The 20,208-nt window shown below is 38.0% G+C and overlaps 1 protein-coding gene and 1 long non-coding RNA gene across 16 annotated transcripts in view, besides 1 other annotated feature; one reads left to right on the forward strand and one right to left on the reverse strand.

The window, feature by feature from the left end:
* The window catches only part of IL33 (interleukin 33), a 42,835-nt gene extending 26,860 nt beyond the window's left edge, over positions 1 to 15,975 (forward strand). For 6 of the 15 annotated variants that reach the window (XM_047424062.1, XM_047424061.1, XM_047424060.1 and 3 more), the window contains 6 exons: positions 8,466 to 8,591; positions 9,132 to 9,257; positions 10,858 to 10,983; positions 11,544 to 11,594; positions 12,454 to 12,545; positions 13,960 to 15,975. In XM_047424062.1, coding sequence (XP_047280018.1) covers positions 8,466 to 8,591; positions 9,132 to 9,257; positions 10,858 to 10,983; positions 11,544 to 11,594; positions 12,454 to 12,545; positions 13,960 to 14,160 — 722 coding nt within the window. In that variant the 3' untranslated portion in view covers positions 14,161 to 15,975. Of the gene's footprint in view, positions 1 to 6,462; positions 6,548 to 8,465; positions 8,592 to 9,131; positions 9,258 to 10,857; positions 10,984 to 11,543; positions 11,595 to 12,453; positions 12,546 to 13,959 lie in introns of those variants that run through there. The other 9 variants (XM_017015285.2, XM_047424064.1, XM_047424063.1 and 6 more) reach the window with 5 other exon arrangements.
* The window catches only part of LOC107987046 (uncharacterized), a 100,037-nt gene that overhangs the window by 13,777 nt on the left and 66,052 nt on the right, over positions 1 to 20,208 (reverse strand). The window lies entirely within an intron of this gene.
* Positions 1,817 to 1,916: a silencer, noted in NCBI's record as "silent region_19763". NCBI's record gives its function as "represses an Ori minimal core promoter by ATAC-STARR-seq in GM12878 lymphoblastoid cells {active_cell/tissue: GM12878}" and the evidence as "EXISTENCE:reporter gene assay evidence [ECO:0000049][PMID:35858748]".

The following is a 20,208-nucleotide window of genomic DNA, read 5'->3' on the forward strand; positions in this document are numbered from 1 at the left end:
CTGAGATAATCTGAACCTGTGAATAGTGATAAACTTAATTATAGCCTTTTATATCAACCACTTTTTGCTCCACACACCTCCTGCTGCCAAACCCCCAAAACCTTTTCCCTGATAAACTAGCAAACTTTTAAGCAGGTCCACTTTTATTCAACAAATATTCATTAAGACCTTTGGTGGTATCAGGCATGTGGTCTTAACTTGCGACTACTGATGAAGAAGAGAATAACAGATGAAGATATTTGAATAATCATCTTAGTCAATTTGTGTTACCATAGAAATATACCTGAAGCTGGGTAATTTAACCCTTTTTCCATTTAGAAAAAAAAGTGCAGCTTGCTGCCAGCGCTTATTTAATTTTACATAAACATCTCTTTGAGGCTGAAGCAAATCTGATTTTCAATGCAAAAATAGAATACAAAAACTGTTCTTGGAGTTATTTCTAAACAGAACTACCATCAGCATTGTCTATTTCAGAAAAAATGAGATTCACCAAATGAAACTTCAGCAAGCAACTAACTGTTCAAGAAGTGTTCAAGAATGTTAACATCACATGTAGGAATGCTACATTTTCCAGGATTTGACATTTTCAGCGATCAAGAATTACTATATTTTATCAATGAAAATACCACTACTAAAAACATAAATAGAATGATGTCTTTTGTTTCCAAAGTTGATATACTAGAGAGATGTAAAAATAATAATAAAAGCAAGATCTTTCGTGGCAAAGTTATCTTAAACACTGCAGAAGCACTGCCAGTAATTATTCTCTGGGCAAATGGGAAAGGGTTAAAAACAAAAGAGGTTTATTTGGTTTACAGTTCTGCAGGCTGTACAAGAAGCATGGTGCTAGCATCTGCTTCTGGTGAGGGCTTCAGGCTATTTCCACTCATGATGGAAAGGGAAGGGAAACCAGTATGTGCAGAGGTCACATAGGGGGAGAACAGAGGGAGAACAGAAGCAGGAGAAAGAGGAGAGGAGGGACCAACCTTTTTTCAACAACCATCTTGCAAACTAAGAGTGAGAATTCGCTCTTGTGAGAATGGCACCAAGCTGTTCATGAGTGGTCTGCCCCATGATCCAAATACCTCCCACAAGGCCCCACCTCCAACAATGGGGATCAAATTTCAACAGGAGACTTGGTGGGACCAAACCAACCAAAGCCAAACCATAGAAATAAAGCAGAACCAACAAATGATGCTCAAGTCTATCTAGCTGCAAACTCAGAGTTTGTAGTAAGACAGAAGGTAAGTAAAGTCAGGTGGCAGCTATAGCTCTGAGATTAAAGGGCTGTATAACTCTTTGATCCTTAAAATTATCTGTCCTAGGAAAGAAGCATGCAAATTTATTTATTTATTTATTTTCTGTTGAGACAGTCTCACTTTGTCTCCCAGGCTGAAGTGCAGTGGCACCATCTCATCTCACTAAAACCTCTGCCTCCTGGTTCAAGCGATTCTCCTGTCTCAGCCTCCCAAGTAGCTGGAATTACAGGCACACACCACCATACCTGGCTAATTTTTTGTATTTTTAGTAGAGATGGGGTTTCACCAGGTTGGCCAGGCTGGTCTTGAACTCCTGGCCTCAAGTGATCCACCCGCCTCAGCCTCCCAAAGTGCTGGGATCACAGGCATGAACCACCGCACTTGGCCAGAAAGCATGCAATTTTAGGATCTGTTTTTCATATGGGAGTAGTAACACAAAAGTAAGTTAATGGAGCCTTGGTGAACAGGAAAGAAAATGGAGGATAAGGAATGATGGTGGGGACTGGCATAACCTTGTCCTTCATGCTCCTTTCCATTTCTCTGTACATCTTTAAGGCTAGAAAAGAAAGCAGAGTTAATATCATTTCTGTCTCATTCTGTCTTCCCTGAGGCTGTGGCCCACCCACACTGTTCTTTGGTGACCAGGGAAAGCACTAATTTGACTGTGGTTTCTGAACAACCAGGAAATCACAGCAGAACCAATCCTTTTACTTGTAGCTGAGTCAAAATGCTCTCTGTAGAAACAGTGACTCAGTGACTTTGCATCCCTAAATTGCCTCTCATAAAAAGTACATTTTCTTTGTACCTCAGGAAGTATGGGCTCTTTATAGAAACTGGAATGAGGGAGTGGGCTAGAGTTTATGCCAGAGTTGGTGGTATTGATACAAAAGTTAAAATGTAACCCCTCCTTTAAGGGAACAGTGGCCCTAACTACTTACCTATACCATTTAGAGGACAGTGATAAAAATAATCTCAAACTCATTTGTATGGCTTTACAAATACATCACATTATTTTAATTGGCCCTTAACAGATCTTTCTTTCCAATAATATTGGCTCAGTTAAATATTGTCCTCCCCTCTTATTTGCAGGAAATATGTACCAAGACACCCAACAGATGCTTAAAACAATGGATAGTAATGAACCCTATATATACTATGTTTTTTCCTACAGATACATACCCATGATAATGTTTAATTTATAAGTTAGGCACAATGAGAGATTAACAATAACCAACAAAAAAGTGGAGCAATTAGAACAACATACTGTAATGAAAATAATGTGAATGTCTGCTCTCTCTCTCAAAATATCTTATTGTATTTCACTGTGGGTAACTGAAATCATGGAAAGTAAACCCACAGATGGGGGCAAGCAGGATAGAGTTACTGCACTAAAACTGTGATTATTTAAACAATCCTGGTGAAAAATTTGACAGATATCTCTGGGGTATGTGACAGGTGTAAACTGCTTCTCAACTCAAAATGCAAGATATGTCATATCTTGTTTTTCTAAATAAGCTGCTGCTCTAAGATGCCAAGACACAAGGCAAGAAAGCACATTTAATTCCTTCTCTTCTCTTGAGCTACCAGGATCCAACACAAGCCACAGTTCACAATGCTACAAAACTTAGTAGCCAACCACTGCAGGTGTCCCCACAGTCAGTCCCACATTGTGGTCACCCACAGGGCATTTTGCCTCTAATGCCAGCAGGGTACAGGACTTCATGACCTGGAGGAAAGCCTCTCACAACCCTTCCCTTCCCCGTTTCCAGGAAGCTACTTCCCTACTTCCCAGGGTCAGGCTTTCCTCTTCTCCTACTTTCTTTCCCCCACATCCATCAACACTTTCTCTTCCCTAAAAATCCAGCCGTCTTCATTCATGGATCTAGCCAGAGGTCACAATATGGGAGCCTTGGGATAGATCCATCCAGCAGGAGTATTTTATTAGGATTGAACGGTGTTATTGATATTTTCTAATTGAGTCAATTTTTAAAAAATAGGATATTTTTAATGAAAATCTAAATGTGTATAGTTTCTCTAAAAAAATCCAAAGATCTAGAAACACTGGGTCCATATCTTGCATGGCAATAGTTGGCTAGAACTGAGTAGAGATCAACCCCTTTAGTTTGAGTCTATCCATAGAAGATCTGTTACAGTAAAGGAGATTTGACTTTATCCTGTAGACAGTAGGGAATCATTGAAAATGTTGAACTGAGGAATGATAAAATATTTTTACTTTACAGAGATCACATTGGTGAAGTGTGATGATAGTAGTGTGATGATAAAGTGAGGAGGCAAGAGTAGAAACAGAAACTGGTTAGAGGTCTACTGCATTAATCTAAGGGACTAATGATGAAGGTGTGACCTAAGACAACAGAATAGAGAGGACGGACTAGATTTCAGATATATTCAGAAGGTGAAATCAAAAAGACTTAATGACAGATTGAATGAATTGTAAGAATGGAAAGAAGGAAAAATAAATGATTCTCAGCTTTTTGATTTAAGAATTGGGTAGACGCCAGGTGTTGTGGCTCAAGCCTGTAATCCCAGAACTTTGGGAGGCTGAGGCGGGCGGATCATGAGGTCAAGAGATTGAGATCATCCTGGTTAACACGGTGAAACCCCGTCTCTACTAAAAAATACAAAAAATTGCCTGGGCATGGTGGCGGGCGCCTGTAGTCCCAGCCACTTGGGAGGCTGAGGCAGGAGAATGGCATGAACTCGGGAGGCAGAGCTTGCAGTGAGCCGAGATCACGCCACTGCACTCCAGCCTGGGTGACAGAGCAAGACTCTGTCTCCAAAAAAAAAAAAAAAAAAAAAAAAAAAAAAAAAAGAATTGGGTGGATAATGATAGATAGTTGTACTATTTCTCAAGATAGGCAATTCAGGAGAAATATATTGGGGGCAGAAAAAGATAAAGACATTTTTTATTATAAGGACTGCCATGGTTTGAATGTCCCCTCCAAAACTCATGTTGAAATGTAATTACCATTGCGATAGTATTAAGAGGTGGAACCGGCTGGGTGCGGTGGCTTATGCCTGTAATCCCAGCACTTTGGGAGGCCAAGGTGGGTGGATCACGAGGTCAAGAGATTAAGACCATCTTTGCCAACATGGTGAAACCCCGTCTCTACTAAAAATACAAAAATTAGCTGGGCACCGTGGCGCACGCCTGTAGTCCCAGCTACTCAGGAAGCTGAGGCAGGAGAATTGCTGGAACCCAGGAGGCAGAGGTTGCAGTGAGCCAAGATTGCACCACTGCACTCCAGCCTGACAACAGAGCGAGTCTCCATCTCAAAAAAATAAAAATAAAAAAAAAGAGAGGTGGGACCTTTAAGGGGTGATTAGGTAATAAAGGCTCTGCCCTCATTAATGGATTAATGCCATTGTCATGGGAGTGGGTTAGTTATTACAGGATTGGGTTTCTGATAAAAATGATGAAGTTCAGTCCCCATCCTTTCTTTGCCTCATGTGCACTCTCACCATGTGTGATGTCTTCCACCATGTGATGACACAGCAAGAAGGCCCTCATCAGCTACAGCCCCTCAATCTTGGACTTCTCAACCTCCAGAACCAGACACCAAATAAAACTCTTTTCTTTATAAATCACCCAGTCCATGGTATTTTGTTATGGCAGCAGAAAAGAGACTAAGACCAGTGTACTTTAGTTTAAGGTAGCTGCAGGTCACCCAGGTAGAGATATCCAGAATTCAGAAGATATACACAGAAAGAGACAGCTATGCTTCAAAGTAGCTGGGTCAAAATGACTTGGGGAGAAAGAAAAACAGATAGAAAGCTCAGGAAAAAGACCAAAGATAGAGTTACAGTTTGGGGAGTCATCAGCCTCTAAAAAGGTGATTGAAGTCATTGGAGCAAGCATGATTGCCCAGGAAGAAAGTTTAAGAGTGAGAGAAGAAAAAAAGTCAAAACCCTGAGGAAAACCAACATTTATGAGCAGACAGTAGAGGGATAACTAACAAAGAGACAAGGTGCAGTAGTCAGAGAGAAACAAGAAGAACCTAGGGAAACTGGTGACATGGCATAAGGAAAGAGGGGTTCAAAGAAAGAAGTGGTCCTGAGAGTCCAATGCCACAGACAGGTCAAGGGTAGTAAGCAGTTAAGAAGACACCTTGGTAAAATCCGTGCTTGGGGAAGAAACGAAAGACGGAGTGATTCACCTCTGTGGTTTCCTATCAGCCATAGTCTAGTTCTCTGAGTGGCAGAATTATAGAAAGATTTCCAGGGCCCTTCCTATTTACTCACAAGAAATCCCTGAGGGATTCATGCTGCTGTTATGATTAAATTAGCTATGGGAATTTTCTTAAAATTCATACTAAGCCATTGCCCTCAGCGAGCAGGCAGGATAGAGACATGGAAAGTGGTAACAGCCCTTATATACATTTGAGCTGGCTCTTTGACCCCAGTGGAGTGCTCTCTCCTGCAAAGTCCACATGTCCAGGCCAGCTTTGCACTTTCCTCTCCAGAACACAACCCTCACACTTTCAGCTTCCCAAAACACCAAAGCATATGTTCTTCAAAATTCTCCTGATGCAAAGTGTTTTCAATACTTCAAATGTAGTAACCCCCATCCTTGAACTATAACCAGTGCTTGTCCTACTAGATGCTAGCCCCCACATGTACATCTTTAACTTTCTTATCTCCTAAAGACTTCCACATCTTCAGTACTTCCTCAGTATTGTGACCCTCACTTTTAACTACCCAAGACTGATATCCTGTTCCCCCCAGAGTCCACACTCAGTATTAGGCATGCCTATCACGTTCCCATGTGATGCTGACTAAAATATAAAGAATATAAGGAGTGAGTGTTCTTTCAGTTATCATATTATGCCTTTTAGCTCTGAAAAGACAATGTGATATAGTTGCTATGGTTTGAATGTTTCCACCAAAACTCATGCTAAAATTTAATCACCATTGTAACAGTGTTGAGAGGTCAGATCTTTTTTTCTTTTCTTTTCTTTTTTTTTTTTTTTTTTTTTTTGAGACAGAGTCTCGCTCTGTCGCCAGACTGGAGTGCAGTGGCACTATCTCAGCTCACTGCAACCTCCGGAGAGGTCGGATCTTTAAGATGTAATTAGGTCATGAGAACTCCACCATCATAAACAGATTACTGCTGTTATCATGGGAGTGGTTTGGTTATCAAGAGACTGGGTTTGTTATAAAAGTGAGTTCTCCGGATTTCCTCTCTGACTTACTCACTGCTGCCTTCCACCATCAGATGATCCTCACCAGATGCCAGCATAATATTCTTGGATTTGCCTGCCTCTAGAAGTGTAAGAAATAAATTTCTATCTTTTTTTTCTTTTTTTAGAGACAGGGTCGCACTCTGTCACCCAGGCTGGAGTGCAGTGGCATGATTATAGCTCACTACAGCCTCAAACTCCCAGGCTCAAGCAATCCTTTGGTCTCAGCCTCCCAAGTTGCTGAGACTACAGGAGCAGGCCACCATGCCCAGCTACTTTTTTTTTTTAAATTTTTTGTAGAGACGGTCTTACTGTGTTGCCCAGGCTGGTCTTGAATGTCTAGCCTCAAGCAATTTTCTTGCCTCAGCCTCCCAAAGTGCTGGGATTACAGGTGTGAGCCACAGCACCTGGCCAACAAATTTCTTTGCTTTATAAATTACCAAGTCTATGGTATTCTGTGATAGTAGCAGAAAATGAATTAATACAACAGTCAGTAAAGTATTGTATTAAATTACTTGTCAGGAGAATAAGTACAATGCTGGCTCTGGCACTAGTTTTCTTTATGAATTATCTTTGTAAGTGTAAAAGCACTAAAATATAAATACAAGATACCACCGTTGATATTTCTGCATTAAGAATCAATGGTAGAGAGTTCTAGAGTGGGTGTGAATATAATTAAGTGGTCTCCCCTTATTAAATCAGTTGAAGATAGTTAAAGGTACCTACTCATCTGAATTGGAAGCAAGATGTGGATTAATTCAAAATAATAGCTAATAAAAGCTTTTCCACTTATCTTTAAAAAGCATTATTTTAGGAAGGCAAATCCACTGGAGAATTTTTTTAACTCATAAAATGAATCCCAGAGTCACAAATAATATTTTATTTTCTGAATTACTGTGACTAATTGAAATTTGACTTCATTGTATAAATTGCTTGATAATTCATTTACTACATAATGTTAAAAATTGAGATCCTATGACTCATGTGTTACAATTTTCTTTTCTACCTGATTCTGAAAGACTTTTTATGATTTTCCAAGTAGCAAATTTAATTTTCTTTTTGAGACTTAGATTTTTCTTTAGCAAAATGAAATAATTACTGAATAATTAACTTTTTTACTTTGACTGATTTAATTTGAATTTGCATTTTGTTAGTCCCTCAAATTGTAGTGTAGCATTTTCTTAGATGGCGGTAAGTGGATGGTGGTGGAAAGAATAGGTTTGATTTTAGGCACACTTCAGTCACAACTTCTCGCCAGCTCTGTAATCTTGGGCAAGTGTCATGACTCCTGAGAGCCTCAGATTATCATCTGTAAAATGGGGACAATAATGCCCATCTTGCAAGATTATTATGAAGAATTAAATGGAGACATATGTAAAATCATTAGCACAGCGTTTGGCCCACTGTAGACACTTAGCAAATGGTAGTTATTTTAATATCAGTAACCTTTGTAGACTTCAGCAATCCCTCCAAAATTATTAAAAGTGTTCTAGACAAGGAGAAAAGATTGCACATTTCATATGAGTAAAAGATACCCCTCAATTAGGCAAAGGTTGATATATGTTGGATACAGGTTCACACTCCCTCATATGGAATTCTGAAAACCAAAATTTTTTTCTAAAGACCTAAAGTTTTTCAGAACTTATTTGACAGCAAAATATGACCTAAACTCATTTCTTGTTCACATCAACTAACTCCTGATGTGAACTAACATAAGGTCTTTATTTCACTTTGTGTAAATTTTCCTATGTTTCAATATAAAATTAACTAATTTTGATTATGGGGTGCTGCCCCCATCTCTTCTGGGGTGCTACATATGTGCACTATATGCTCTATATTACAATCCTAAAATCTAAAAAACTCCGAATTTTGAAACACAGCTGAGTTAAGGATTTCTGATAAGATACTGTGAACCTGTACTTGCTTTCTTGGTCTGCTACACTCAGGATTTGTAGAAGGATAAAGATGAATGGAATGAAACAGTCTCACAAGTTTTTCAATTGTTTAGAATCCCAACAGAAGGCCAAAGAAGTTTGCCCCATGTACTTTATGAAGCTCCGCTCTGGCCTTATGATAAAAAAGGAGGCCTGTTACTTTAGGAGAGAAACCACCAAAAGGCCTTCACTGAAAACAGGTAAGGGGAACCGTACATTCTCTGGCAATAGTGATAAGTATCTGTTTGCCTTCACTTACCACATCTAAATATGCAATTATTTTTCCTCACTCCAAGGTTCCTTTTGGAAAATATTAAGAATGATGAACTGGTTTTTAGCTATTTTTAAAAGGGCATATAAAGAATTTTCAATAGCATGAGAGAAATGATTATGTTATAATGTTAAGTGAAAACAAAAGATACATAACTATGTGTAAATATGTTTACAATATTTTTAAGTGTTTTTTTAATTTAAAGGAAATAGGTTTAAGCATTAATAGTGCTTGCCTTTTGGGTGTTGAGACTGTGGGTGACTAGTTTTCTTCCTCCTGATCTCTAATGAGTGTGCTTCTACTGGGGAATAAGTGTGCCAAGAGGTATCAATCCCTTTGGACCATGAAGTGGCCAAAGCCCTGGAGTCAATCACTACTCTCAGCAAGCAGCCTTAACTGGGAATCCTCAAAGGGGCATTTGTGCAGAGTGGGGATTGATGGTCTATCCCTAATCCCATCCGGTCTGCAGGTAGAAAGCACAAAAGACATCTGGTACTCGCTGCCTGTCAACAGCAGTCTACTGTGGAGTGCTTTGCCTTTGGTATATCAGGGGTCCAGAAATATACTAGAGCACTTCATGATTCAAGTATCACAGGTATGACTGGTTACAGGGGTGATGTGGGAGTGAGGAGGGAGGTATGACACAGGACCCCGGAAAGTGCTACTCCAGGTAGCAGTCCCAAGTCTGTGTCTTTAATGTGTACCAGAAACTTCTGCCCATTTGCAGCTGATGTACCCATCTAATAGTATCCAAAGTAGGTGCAAGGTAGCTGTTCTAATAATGTACATGCATTCTCTAGTTAGCACTCCATCATTATTTTGAAATACTTGCAATGGATTGGAATCCCATGGTCATTAGTTTTGGTGAAAATATGTTATCTTTTGGGAAAAAAACACATTTTCCCCCCAAATTTCAATATTTTGACCATGAAAGAAAAGAGCTATTATATTTTTAAATATAATTCTAACACTTTATACATTTTAAGTAGTAGTTAAGATGGTTTTAAATTTTATCACTTCCTTGTATAAGGTTCCAAGTTGATGATGACTTCAAGAAGTGAAGAGATCATCATTAAAAAAAAAACTTGGCCAGGTGTGGTGGCTCACACCTGTAATCCCAGCACTTTGGGAGGCCGAGGTTGATGGATCACCTGAGGTCAGGAGTTCAACACCAGCCTGGCCAACATGGCGAAACCCTGTCTCTACTAAAAATACAAAAATCTGTTGGTTGTGGTGATGTGCACCCGTAATTCCAGCTACTTGTGAGGCTGAGGCACAAGAATTGCTTGAACCTTGACAGAGGTTGCAGTGAGCCGAGATCATGTCAGGGCACTCTCGCCTGGGCAACAAGAGCGGCTGTCTCAGAAAAAAAACAAACAAACAAACAAAAAAAAACCCAACAAAAAACAAAACAAAACAAAAAAACCAACTTTACCTGGAAATTGCATTTGCCATTTCAAGCATTATTCCTGCTATAAATGTCCTAAATTCCCAGAAGCAACACTGAAGTTTTCTCATTAAGTATTTCTAAATCATTTACTTTAGAAGTTCATGTACAAATTCAGTATGTAACATTCTCCTTAATATTTTGTATACTATTTTTTTCCAGGCCCCATCTGAGTAGTCCCTAAATCTGCTCCAGTTTACCTCAGCAGGCTATAAAAATATTATCATTTTCTATGGGTATTTTGACACTTTTTAAAAGTTGGGAGCACTGCACTAAGTGTCCCTGTTATTTAGCCAGAGGAGAGAACAGGGCTTATATCCGCATTCTCCAGGACTGTCAGAAACTTCTGGGTAACTCCATACTTTATAGATGAACATTTATTTATCCATGTCTATCAAAATACAGTCCCTTCTTTACCACAGTCCCCAGACCAAGTGGTGTCATGAAGTGAAGGTTTCCTCAAGCAATGTCTGTTGCTTTCCATTTTCTTTTTCCCCACCAAACCCTCCCATAAGCACACTCACATGGCCTCCCAGGGCCTTCATGCAGGACACTAGCACCTTTAATCCCATTCAAGGGTCACATCTCAGCCTTTTAGCTATGTAAAACTTGTATCAAAGGCTTTAATCTAGCCAACAGTGACATACAAAATGCAACTCAAATTGCAAAAATGTTTTTTGAGGGAGCATTTTTTAAAAAGGTTGCCAAAAGAATTGTGCCTGACAAATTTTTGAATTCTTAACAACAGGAATTTCACCTATTACAGAGTATCTTGCTTCTCTAAGCACATACAATGATCAATCCATTACTTTTGCTTTGGAGGATGAAAGTTATGAGATATATGTTGAAGACTTGAAAAAAGATGAAAAGAAAGGTAGATTATTTTCTTTTTCTATAATAATGTAATAATGACTAATAAAAGTAAAACATTTTAATAAATCTACCAAACTTTAAACAATGGATTAACTTAGACATGGCAAACAGGTCATGCTGTGTGCTAACTCTAATGCATTGGCAGTGGGTGCCTGAATCCACTTCTATGTCAAGATGGATTCAGAAGCTTTGTCACGTTCATCAGAGAAGAATGCTGACATTGAAATGCAGTATCTGTTGTGAAAGATGGAAAGAGGGGCCACATGTATTTGCTATCTCTAAATTATCCACCAGATCTTTCTAGCCCTATTAGTATCACCAAAGTACAACCTTTATGCCACTGCTATGAAAAATATTTTAAATATTTTAATAACAACTATATTGGAGAATTCATCAGAGCATATTCGTGCATTTTTGAGACCTTTCTCAAAACCACAAAAGATTTGTTTTTATTGATATATAATAAAAGGGGAGGATATTTTCTGATGTTATGTGTGTGTTGGAACTGAAAACTTAACAAAATTGTGTCTCACCAGAGGGATTTTATGCATTCTCTTTCAGATAAGGTGTTACTGAGTTACTATGAGTCTCAACACCCCTCAAATGAATCAGGTAATTTGGAGGGCTGGGTAGCTGTAGTGCTTGAATTCTTAAGTATGGGGTAAAGATAAATCCAAAAAAATCCTTTTTGCCCCATAGGAAAAAAGATAGTCTCAGAAGGTTATCTCCAACCCAAGCTCATGGTAAAACCTTAGATTCTCAGAGGATGCATTCTCATCCATTTTACAGCTTAATCGTTAGGATAAAGTTTTGGCTACACTTAATACAGATCCAAAACAAGAGTGGTTTATGCTAGATAAAACTTTCTGTCTTAGCCAGGGCTGCAATGGCTCAACAAGTTGTCCAGGGAACCCATCTCCTTCTATCTTGTGGTTCTGCCAACATCTACATGGTTCAAGAGTACTTGGGAGCATGACAATGCCTGGTCAGCAGGACACAGAAAAACAGATGTATGCATTCTATTTCCCTTTAAGGGTACAACCTAGAAGTTGCACCTAACACTTCCTCTTATCTCACATTGGTCAGAACTCAGTTGTATTACTACACTTAGCCATAAGAAGGCAAGCTGGGGAATGTTCTATTACTATCCCAAAAGAGGAATGAATATTGGGTGACACTATGAGTGGCTTTACATGCAGACAGGAAAGCTGATGCCCCGAGAAGTAACCATTAGGGTCACAACTCTCCAATTAAAAAGCATATAAGAAAACTAATTTCTCTCCGGTTTATAAGTACCCTCTACTTATCAGTGCCTCTTGAACTTGGGTACAAATACTTCTAAGATACCTGTTAGTGAATGAAGTAATTATTTTATGTAACATCTTAGACTTTTTTCCTGGGTGTTGAATTCATTTAAATAAAGATGAGTTACAGTTCTTAACTTTATCATTTATACTTTCTTAATTGTAAGGTGACGGTGTTGATGGTAAGATGTTAATGGTAACCCTGAGTCCTACAAAAGACTTCTGGTTGCATGCCAACAACAAGGAACACTCTGTGGAGGTAAAAAAAAAAAATTTATCTATATCTATATATATGATTACAGAACTGTCATGAATGACTCCACCAACTTGTGTAGATTTGGGTGTTGGGGTATTTTGCAGAAGGATTTTTTTGTGTGCTATTGTATATAAAGCACAATCACTTACTACAAATGACTTGCTTCTAGAGTAAGGAAGGGAGGAAAGTGGCATGTATGGCTTTGCTATTGAAAGTCTGCTCTCTGCCAGCAGCAGAGCATCACCTGGGAGCCTGTTAGAAATGCAGGATTCTAAGCCCCCCAGAAATAAATCAGAATCAGCATATTTTAATAAATCTCCAGGAAATTCATATGTGCCTTAAAGTTTGAGAAGCACTGTTACATAGAATGATCTCAAATCCTTTCTGTTTGGCTTTAGGAACTACTATGTTCCTCTAGGAAACGTTTCTTTGTATAATATCATTTTCTTAAACAAATACAAAAAAAATTTCCATTCTGAGCCTGCTTAAGGGAGAGTCATAAGCGTTTCCATGTGCCAAGATTTATAAATAACCTAACATCTACATTCTGAACATAGAATTAATTGCATATTCTTCTTTAGTTAGCAAATGGCATTATTACATTGGTCATGATGTGTAATTATAACTATTTTGACAAACAAGCCAAAGGTAGAGGCATGGAAGAAAACAGAAGAGAGCATAATATAGAAGATAAATTATACAAACACAGAAAAATATAAAGCTAACTAACACAGCCATGTAAGGCCTTATTAACATAAATAGTGGATAGTAACCAGCATCTTCCTAAGCAAAACATTCCTAAACATATATAATCTAGTGTTTGGCATGTATAACTACTCAATAATAGAGCTACTTAGACTGAGCTCTATTATATAGCAAGCACTGGGCTAAATGTTTTACAAATATTATTTTATTTAATACTCACAGTAACTCTACAATGGAGTTGTTGTATTGGTCAACTGTTGCTATGTAACAAACCATCCCAAAACTTAGTGCCTCAAAATAATAATCATTTATATTTACTCATGTCTGTAGATATTTTGAGGATTGACTGATCTAGAAAACTGGTTAGACTAAAAAAAATGAGGCTTGAGAGATAAAGCAACATCCCCAAGATCTCAGAGATAGTACATGTCAAAAGAAGGGTACAAATCCAGAACTGTTGCATCCAGATCCAATCACCCTAATCCATACTGCCTCTCTATGTTGACTATCAGTGAATCAAATCAAATCCACCCACTACCCCTCTGGCCCTCTACTCACTTCTCCCCCTCTTCCCTCCACAACTCACTAAGCAAGCTTGCTAGAAATATCAAGTCATAAATAAGTATTCCCCTTTAGTTTCCAATACAGGCAGGTAAAGTTGACTCTGAACTTCCCATTCACATATGGATTGCTTTCTCTCTTGTTTCCTCAGCTCCATAAGTGTGAAAAACCACTGCCAGACCAGGCCTTCTTTGTCCTTCATAATATGCACTCCAACTGTGTTTCATTTGAATGCAAGACTGATCCTGGAGTGTTTATAGGTGTAAAGGATAATCATCTTGCTCTGATTAAAGTAGACTCTTCTGAGAATTTGTGTACTGAAAATATCTTGTTTAAGCTCTCTGAAACTTAGTTGATGGAAACCTGTGAGTCTTGGGTTGAGTACCCAAATGCTACCACTGGAGAAGGAATGAGAGATAAAGAAAGAGACAGGTGACATCTAAGGGAAATGAAGAGTGCTTAGCATGTGTGGAATGTTTTCCATATTATGTATAAAAATATTTTTTCTAATCCTCCAGTTATTCTTTTATTTCCCTCTGTATAACTGCATCTTCAATACAAGTATCAGTATATTAAATAGGGTATTGGTAAAGAAACGGTCAACATTCTAAAGAGATACAGTCTGACCTTTACTTTTCTCTAGTTTCAGTCCAGAAAGAACTTCATATTTAGAGCTAAGGCCACTGAGGAAAGAGCCATAGCTTAAGTCTCTATGTAGACAGGGATCCATTTTAAAGAGCTACTTAGAGAAATAATTTTCCACAGTTCCAAACGATAGGCTCAAACACTAGAGCTGCTAGTAAAAAGAAGACCAGATGCTTCACAGAATTATCATTTTTTCAACTGGAATAAAACACCAGGTTTGTTTGTAGATGTCTTAGGCAACACTCAGAGCAGATCTCCCTTACTGTCAGGGGATATGGAACTTCAAAGGCCCACATGGCAAGCCAGGTAACATAAATGTGTGAAAAAGTAAAGATAACTAAAAAATTTAGAAAAATAAATCCAGTATTTGTAAAGTGAATAACTTCATTTCTAATTGTTTAATTTTTAAAATTCTGATTTTTATATATTGAGTTTAAGCAAGGCATTCTTACACGAGGAAGTGAAGTAAATTTTAGTTCAGACATAAAATTTCACTTATTAGGAATATGTAACATGCTAAAACTTTTTTTTTTTTAAAGAGTACTGAGTCACAACATGTTTTAGAGCATCCAAGTACCATATAATCCAACTATCATGGTAAGGCCAGAAATCTTCTAACCTACCAGAGCCTAGATGAGACACCGAATTAACATTAAAATTTCAGTAACTGACTGTCCCTCATGTCCATGGCCTACCATCCCTTCTGACCCTGGCTTCCAGGGACCTATGTCTTTTAATACTCACTGTCACATTGGGCAAAGTTGCTTCTAATCCTTATTTCCCATGTGCACAAGTCTTTTTGTATTCCAGCTTCCTGATAACACTGCTTACTGTGGAATATTCATTTGACATCTGTCTCTTTTCATTTCTTTTAACTACCATGCCCTTGATATATCTTTTGCACCTGCTGAACTTCATTTCTGTATCACCTGACCTCTGGATGCCAAAACGTTTATTCTGCTTTGTCTGTTGTAGAATTTTAGATAAAGCTATTAATGGCAATATTTTTTTGCTAAACGTTTTTGTTTTTTACTGTCACTAGGGCAATAAAATTTATACTCAACCATATAATAACATTTTTTAACTACTAAAGGAGTAGTTTTTATTTTAAAGTCTTAGCAATTTCTATTACAACTTTTCTTAGACTTAACACTTATGATAAATGACTAACATAGTAACAGAATCTTTATGAAATATGACCTTTTCTGAAAATACATACTTTTACATTTCTACTTTATTGAGACCTATTAGATGTAAGTGCTAGTAGAATATAAGATAAAAGAGGCTGAGAATTACCATACAAGGGTATTACAACTGTAAAACAATTTATCTTTGTTTCATTGTTCTGTCAATAATTGTTACCAAAGAGATAAAAATAAAAGCAGAATGTATATCATCCCATCTGAAAAACACTAATTATTGACATGTGCATCTGTACAATAAACTTAAAATGATTATTAAATAATCAAATATATCTACTACATTGTTTATATTATTGAATAAAGTATATTTTCCAAATGTATGTGAGACTATAATGATTTTATCATATGATGACTCAATATTCTGAAATTTCTTTTTTTATTATACTTTAAGTTCTAGGGTCCATGTGCACGACATGCAGGTTTGTTACATATGTATACATGTGCCATGTTGGTATGCTGCACCCATTAACTCATCATTTACATTGGGTATATCTCCTAATGCTATCCCTCCCCCTTCCCCCACCCCACAACAGGCCCTGGTGTGCGGTGTTCCCCACTCTGTGTCCAAGTGTTTTCATTGTTCAATTCCCACCTATAAGTGAGAACATGCAGTGTTTGGTTTTTAGTCCGTGCGATAGTTTGTTCAGAATGATGGTTTCCAGCTCCATCCATGTCCCTACAAAGGACATGAACTCATCCTTTTTATGGCTGCATAGTATTCCATGGTGTATATGTGCCACATTTTCTTAATCCACTCTATCACTGATGGACATTTGGGTTGGTTCCAAGTCTTTGCTATTGTGAATAGTGCCGCAATAAACATACGTGTGCATATGTCTTTATAGCAGCATGATTTATAATCCTTTGGGTATATACCCAGTAATGGGATGGCTGGGTCAAATGGTATTTCTAGTTCTAGATCCTTGAAGAATCACCACACTGTCTTCCACAATGGCTGAACTAGCTTACAGTCCCACCAACAGTGTAAAAGTGTTCCTATTTCTCCACATCCTCTCCAGCACCTGTTTCCTGACTTTTTAATGTTCACCATTCTACCCGGTGTGAGATGGTATCTCATTGTGGTTTTGATTTGAATTTATCTAATGGCCAGAGATGATGAGCATTTTTTCATGTGTCTGTTGGCTGCATAAATGTCTTCTTTTGAAAAGTGTCTGTTCATATACTTTGCCCACTTTTTGATGGGGTTGTTTGAGTTTTTCTTCTAAATTTGTTTAAATTCTTTGTAGATTCTGGATATTAGCCCTTTGTCAGATGGGTAGATTGCAAAAATTTTCTCCCATTCTGTAGGTTGCCTGTTCACTCTGATGGTAGTTTCTTTTGCTGTGCAGAAGCTCTTTGGTTTCATTAGATCCCATTTGTCTATTTTGGCTTTTGTTGCCATTGCTTTTGGTGTTTTAGACATGAAGACCTTGCCCATGCCTATGTCCTGAATGGTATTGCCTAGGGTTTCTTCTAGGGTTTTTATGGTTTTAGGTCTGATATTTAAGTCTTTAATCCATCTTGAATTAATTTTTGTATAAGGCGTAAGGAAGGGATCCAGTTTCAGCTTTCTACATATGGCTAGCCAGTTTCCCCAGCACCATTTATTAAATAGGCAATCTTTCCCCATTTCTTGTTTTTGTCAGGTTTGTCAAAGATCAGATGGATGTAGATGTGTGGTATTATTTCTGAGGGCTCTGTTCTGTTCCATTGGTCTATATGTCTGTTTTGGTACCAGTACCATGCTGTTTTGGTTACTGTAGTATAGTTTGAAGTCAGGTAGCGTGATGCCTCCAGCTTTGTTCTTTTGGCTTAGGACTGTCTTGGCAATGCGGGCTCTTTTTTGGTTCCATATGAACTTTAAAGTAGTTTTTTCCAATTCTGTGAAGAAAGTCATTGGTAGCTTGATGGGATGGCGTTGAATCTGTAAATTACCTTGGGCAGTATGGCCATTTTCATGATATTGATTCTTCCTATCCATGAACATGGAATGTTCTTCCATTTGTTTGTGTCCTCTTTTATTTCATTGAGCAGTGGTTTGTAGTTCTCCTTGAAGAGGTTCTTCACATCCCTTGTAAGTTGGATTCCTAGGTATTTTATTCTCTTTGAAGCAATTGTGAATGGGAGTTCACTCATGATTTGGCTCTCTGTTTGTGTGTTGTTGGTGTATAAGAATGCTTGTGATTTTTGCACATTGATTTTGTATCCTGAGACTTTGCTGAAGTTGCTTATCAGCTTAAGGAGATTTTGGGCTGAGATGATGGGGTTTTCTAAATATACAATCATGTCATCTACAAACAGGGACAGTTTGACGTCCTCTTTTCCTAATTGAATACCCTTTATTTCTTTCTCCTGCCTGATTGCCCTGGCCAGAACTTCCAACACTATGTTGAATAGGAGTGGTGAGAGAGGGCATCCCTGTCTTGTGCCAGTTTTCAAAGGGAATGCTTCCAGTTTTTGCCCATTCAGTATGATATTGGCTGTGGGTTTATCATAGATAGCTCTTATTATTTTGAGATACGTCCCATCAATACCTAATTTATTGAGAGTTTTTAGTATGAAGGGATGTTGAATTTTGTCAAAGGTCTTTTCTGCATCTATTGAGATAATCGTGTGGTTTTTGTCTTTGGTTCTGTTTATATGATGGATTAAATTTATGGATTTGCACATGTTGAACCATCCTTGCATCCCAGGGATGAAGCCCACTTGGTCATGGAGGATAAGCTTTTTGATGTGCTGCTGGATTCAGTTTGCCAGTATTTTATTGAGGATTTTTATATCGATATTCATCAAGGATATTCGTCTAAAATTCTCTTTTTTTGTTGTGTCTCTGCCCAGCTTTGTTATCAGGATGAAGCTGGCCTCATAAAATGAGTTAGGGAGGATTCCCTCTTTTTCTATTGATTGGAATAGTTTCAGAAGGAATGTTACCAGCTCCTCTTTGTACCTCTGGTAGAATTCAGCTATGAATCCGTCTGGTCCTGGACTTTTTTTTGGTTGGTAGGCTATTAATTATTGCTTCAATTTCAGAGCCTGTTATTGGTCTGTTCAGGGATTCAACTTCTTCCTGGTTTAGTCTTGGGAGGGTGTATGTGTCCAGGAATTTATCCATTTCGTCTAGATTTTCTAGTTTATTTGCATAGAGGTGTTTACAGTATTTTCTGATGGTAGTTTGTATTTCTGTGGGATCAGTGGTGATATCTCCTTTATCATTTTTTATTGCGTCTATTTGATTTTTCTCTTTTTCTTTATTAGTCTTGCTAGAGGTCTATCAATTTTGTTGATCCTTTCAAAACACCAGCTCCTGGATTCATTGATTTTTTTGAAGGTTTTTTTGCGTCTTTATTTCCTTCAGTTCTGCTCTGATCTTAGCTATTTCTTGCCTTCTGCTAGCTTTTGAATGTGTTAGCTCTTGCTTTTCTAGTTCTTTTAATTGTGATGTTATGGTGTCAGTTTTAGATCTTTCCTGCTTTCTCTTGTGGGCATTTAATGCTATAAATTTCCCTATACACACTGCTTTAAATGTGTCCCAGAGATTCTGGTATGTTGTGTCTTTGTTCTCATTGGTTTCAAAGAACATCTTTATTTCTGCCTTCATTTTGTTATGTACCCAGTAGTCATTTAGGAGCAGGGTGTTCAGTGTCCATGTAGTTGAGTGGTTTTGAGTGAGTTTCTTAATCCTGAGTTCTAGTTTGATTGCACTGTGGTCTGAGAGACAGTTTGTTATAATTTCTCTTCTTTTACATTTGCTGAAGGGTGCTTTACTTCCAACTATGTGGTCAATTTTGGAATAAGTGCAATGTGGTGCTGAAAAGAATGCATAATCTGTTGATTTGGGGAGTTCTGTAGATGTCTATTAGGTCCACTTGGTGCAGAGCTGAGTTCAATTCCTGGATATCCTTGTTAACTTTCTGTCTCGTTGATCTGTCTAATGTTGACAGTGGGGTGTTAAAGTCTCCCATTATTACTGTGTGGGAGTCTAAGTCTCTTTGTAGGTCTCTTAGGACTTGCTTTATGAATCTGGGTGCTCCCATATTGGGTGCATATATATTTAGGATAGTTAGCTCTTCTTGTTGAATTGATCCCTTTACCATTATGTAATGGCCTTCTTTGTCTCTTCTGATCTTTGTTGGTTTAAAGTATGGTTTACCAGAGACTAGGATTGCAACCCCCGCTTTTTTTTTGTTTTCCATTTGCTTGGTAGATCTTCCACCATCCCTTTATTTTGAGCCTATGTGTGTCTCTGCATGTGAGATGGGTCTCCTGAATACAGCACACTGATGGGTCTTGACTCTTTATCCAATTTGCCAGTCTGTGTCTTTTAATTGGAGCATTTAGCCCATTTACATTTAAGGTTAATATTGTTATGTGTGAATCTTATCCTGTCATTATGATGTTAGCTGGTTATTTTGCTCGTTAGTTGATGCAGTTTCTTCCTAGCATCAATGGTCTTTATAATTTGGCATGTTTTTGCAATGGCTGGTACCAGTTGTTCCTTTCCCTGTTTAGTGCTTCCTCAGGAACTCTTGTAAGGCAAGGCTTGTGGTGACAAA

The sequence above is a fragment of the Homo sapiens genome, chromosome 9 (assembly GCF_000001405.40).
Source record: "Homo sapiens chromosome 9, GRCh38.p14 Primary Assembly".
NCBI classification, from domain to species: domain Eukaryota; kingdom Metazoa; phylum Chordata; class Mammalia; order Primates; family Hominidae; genus Homo; species Homo sapiens.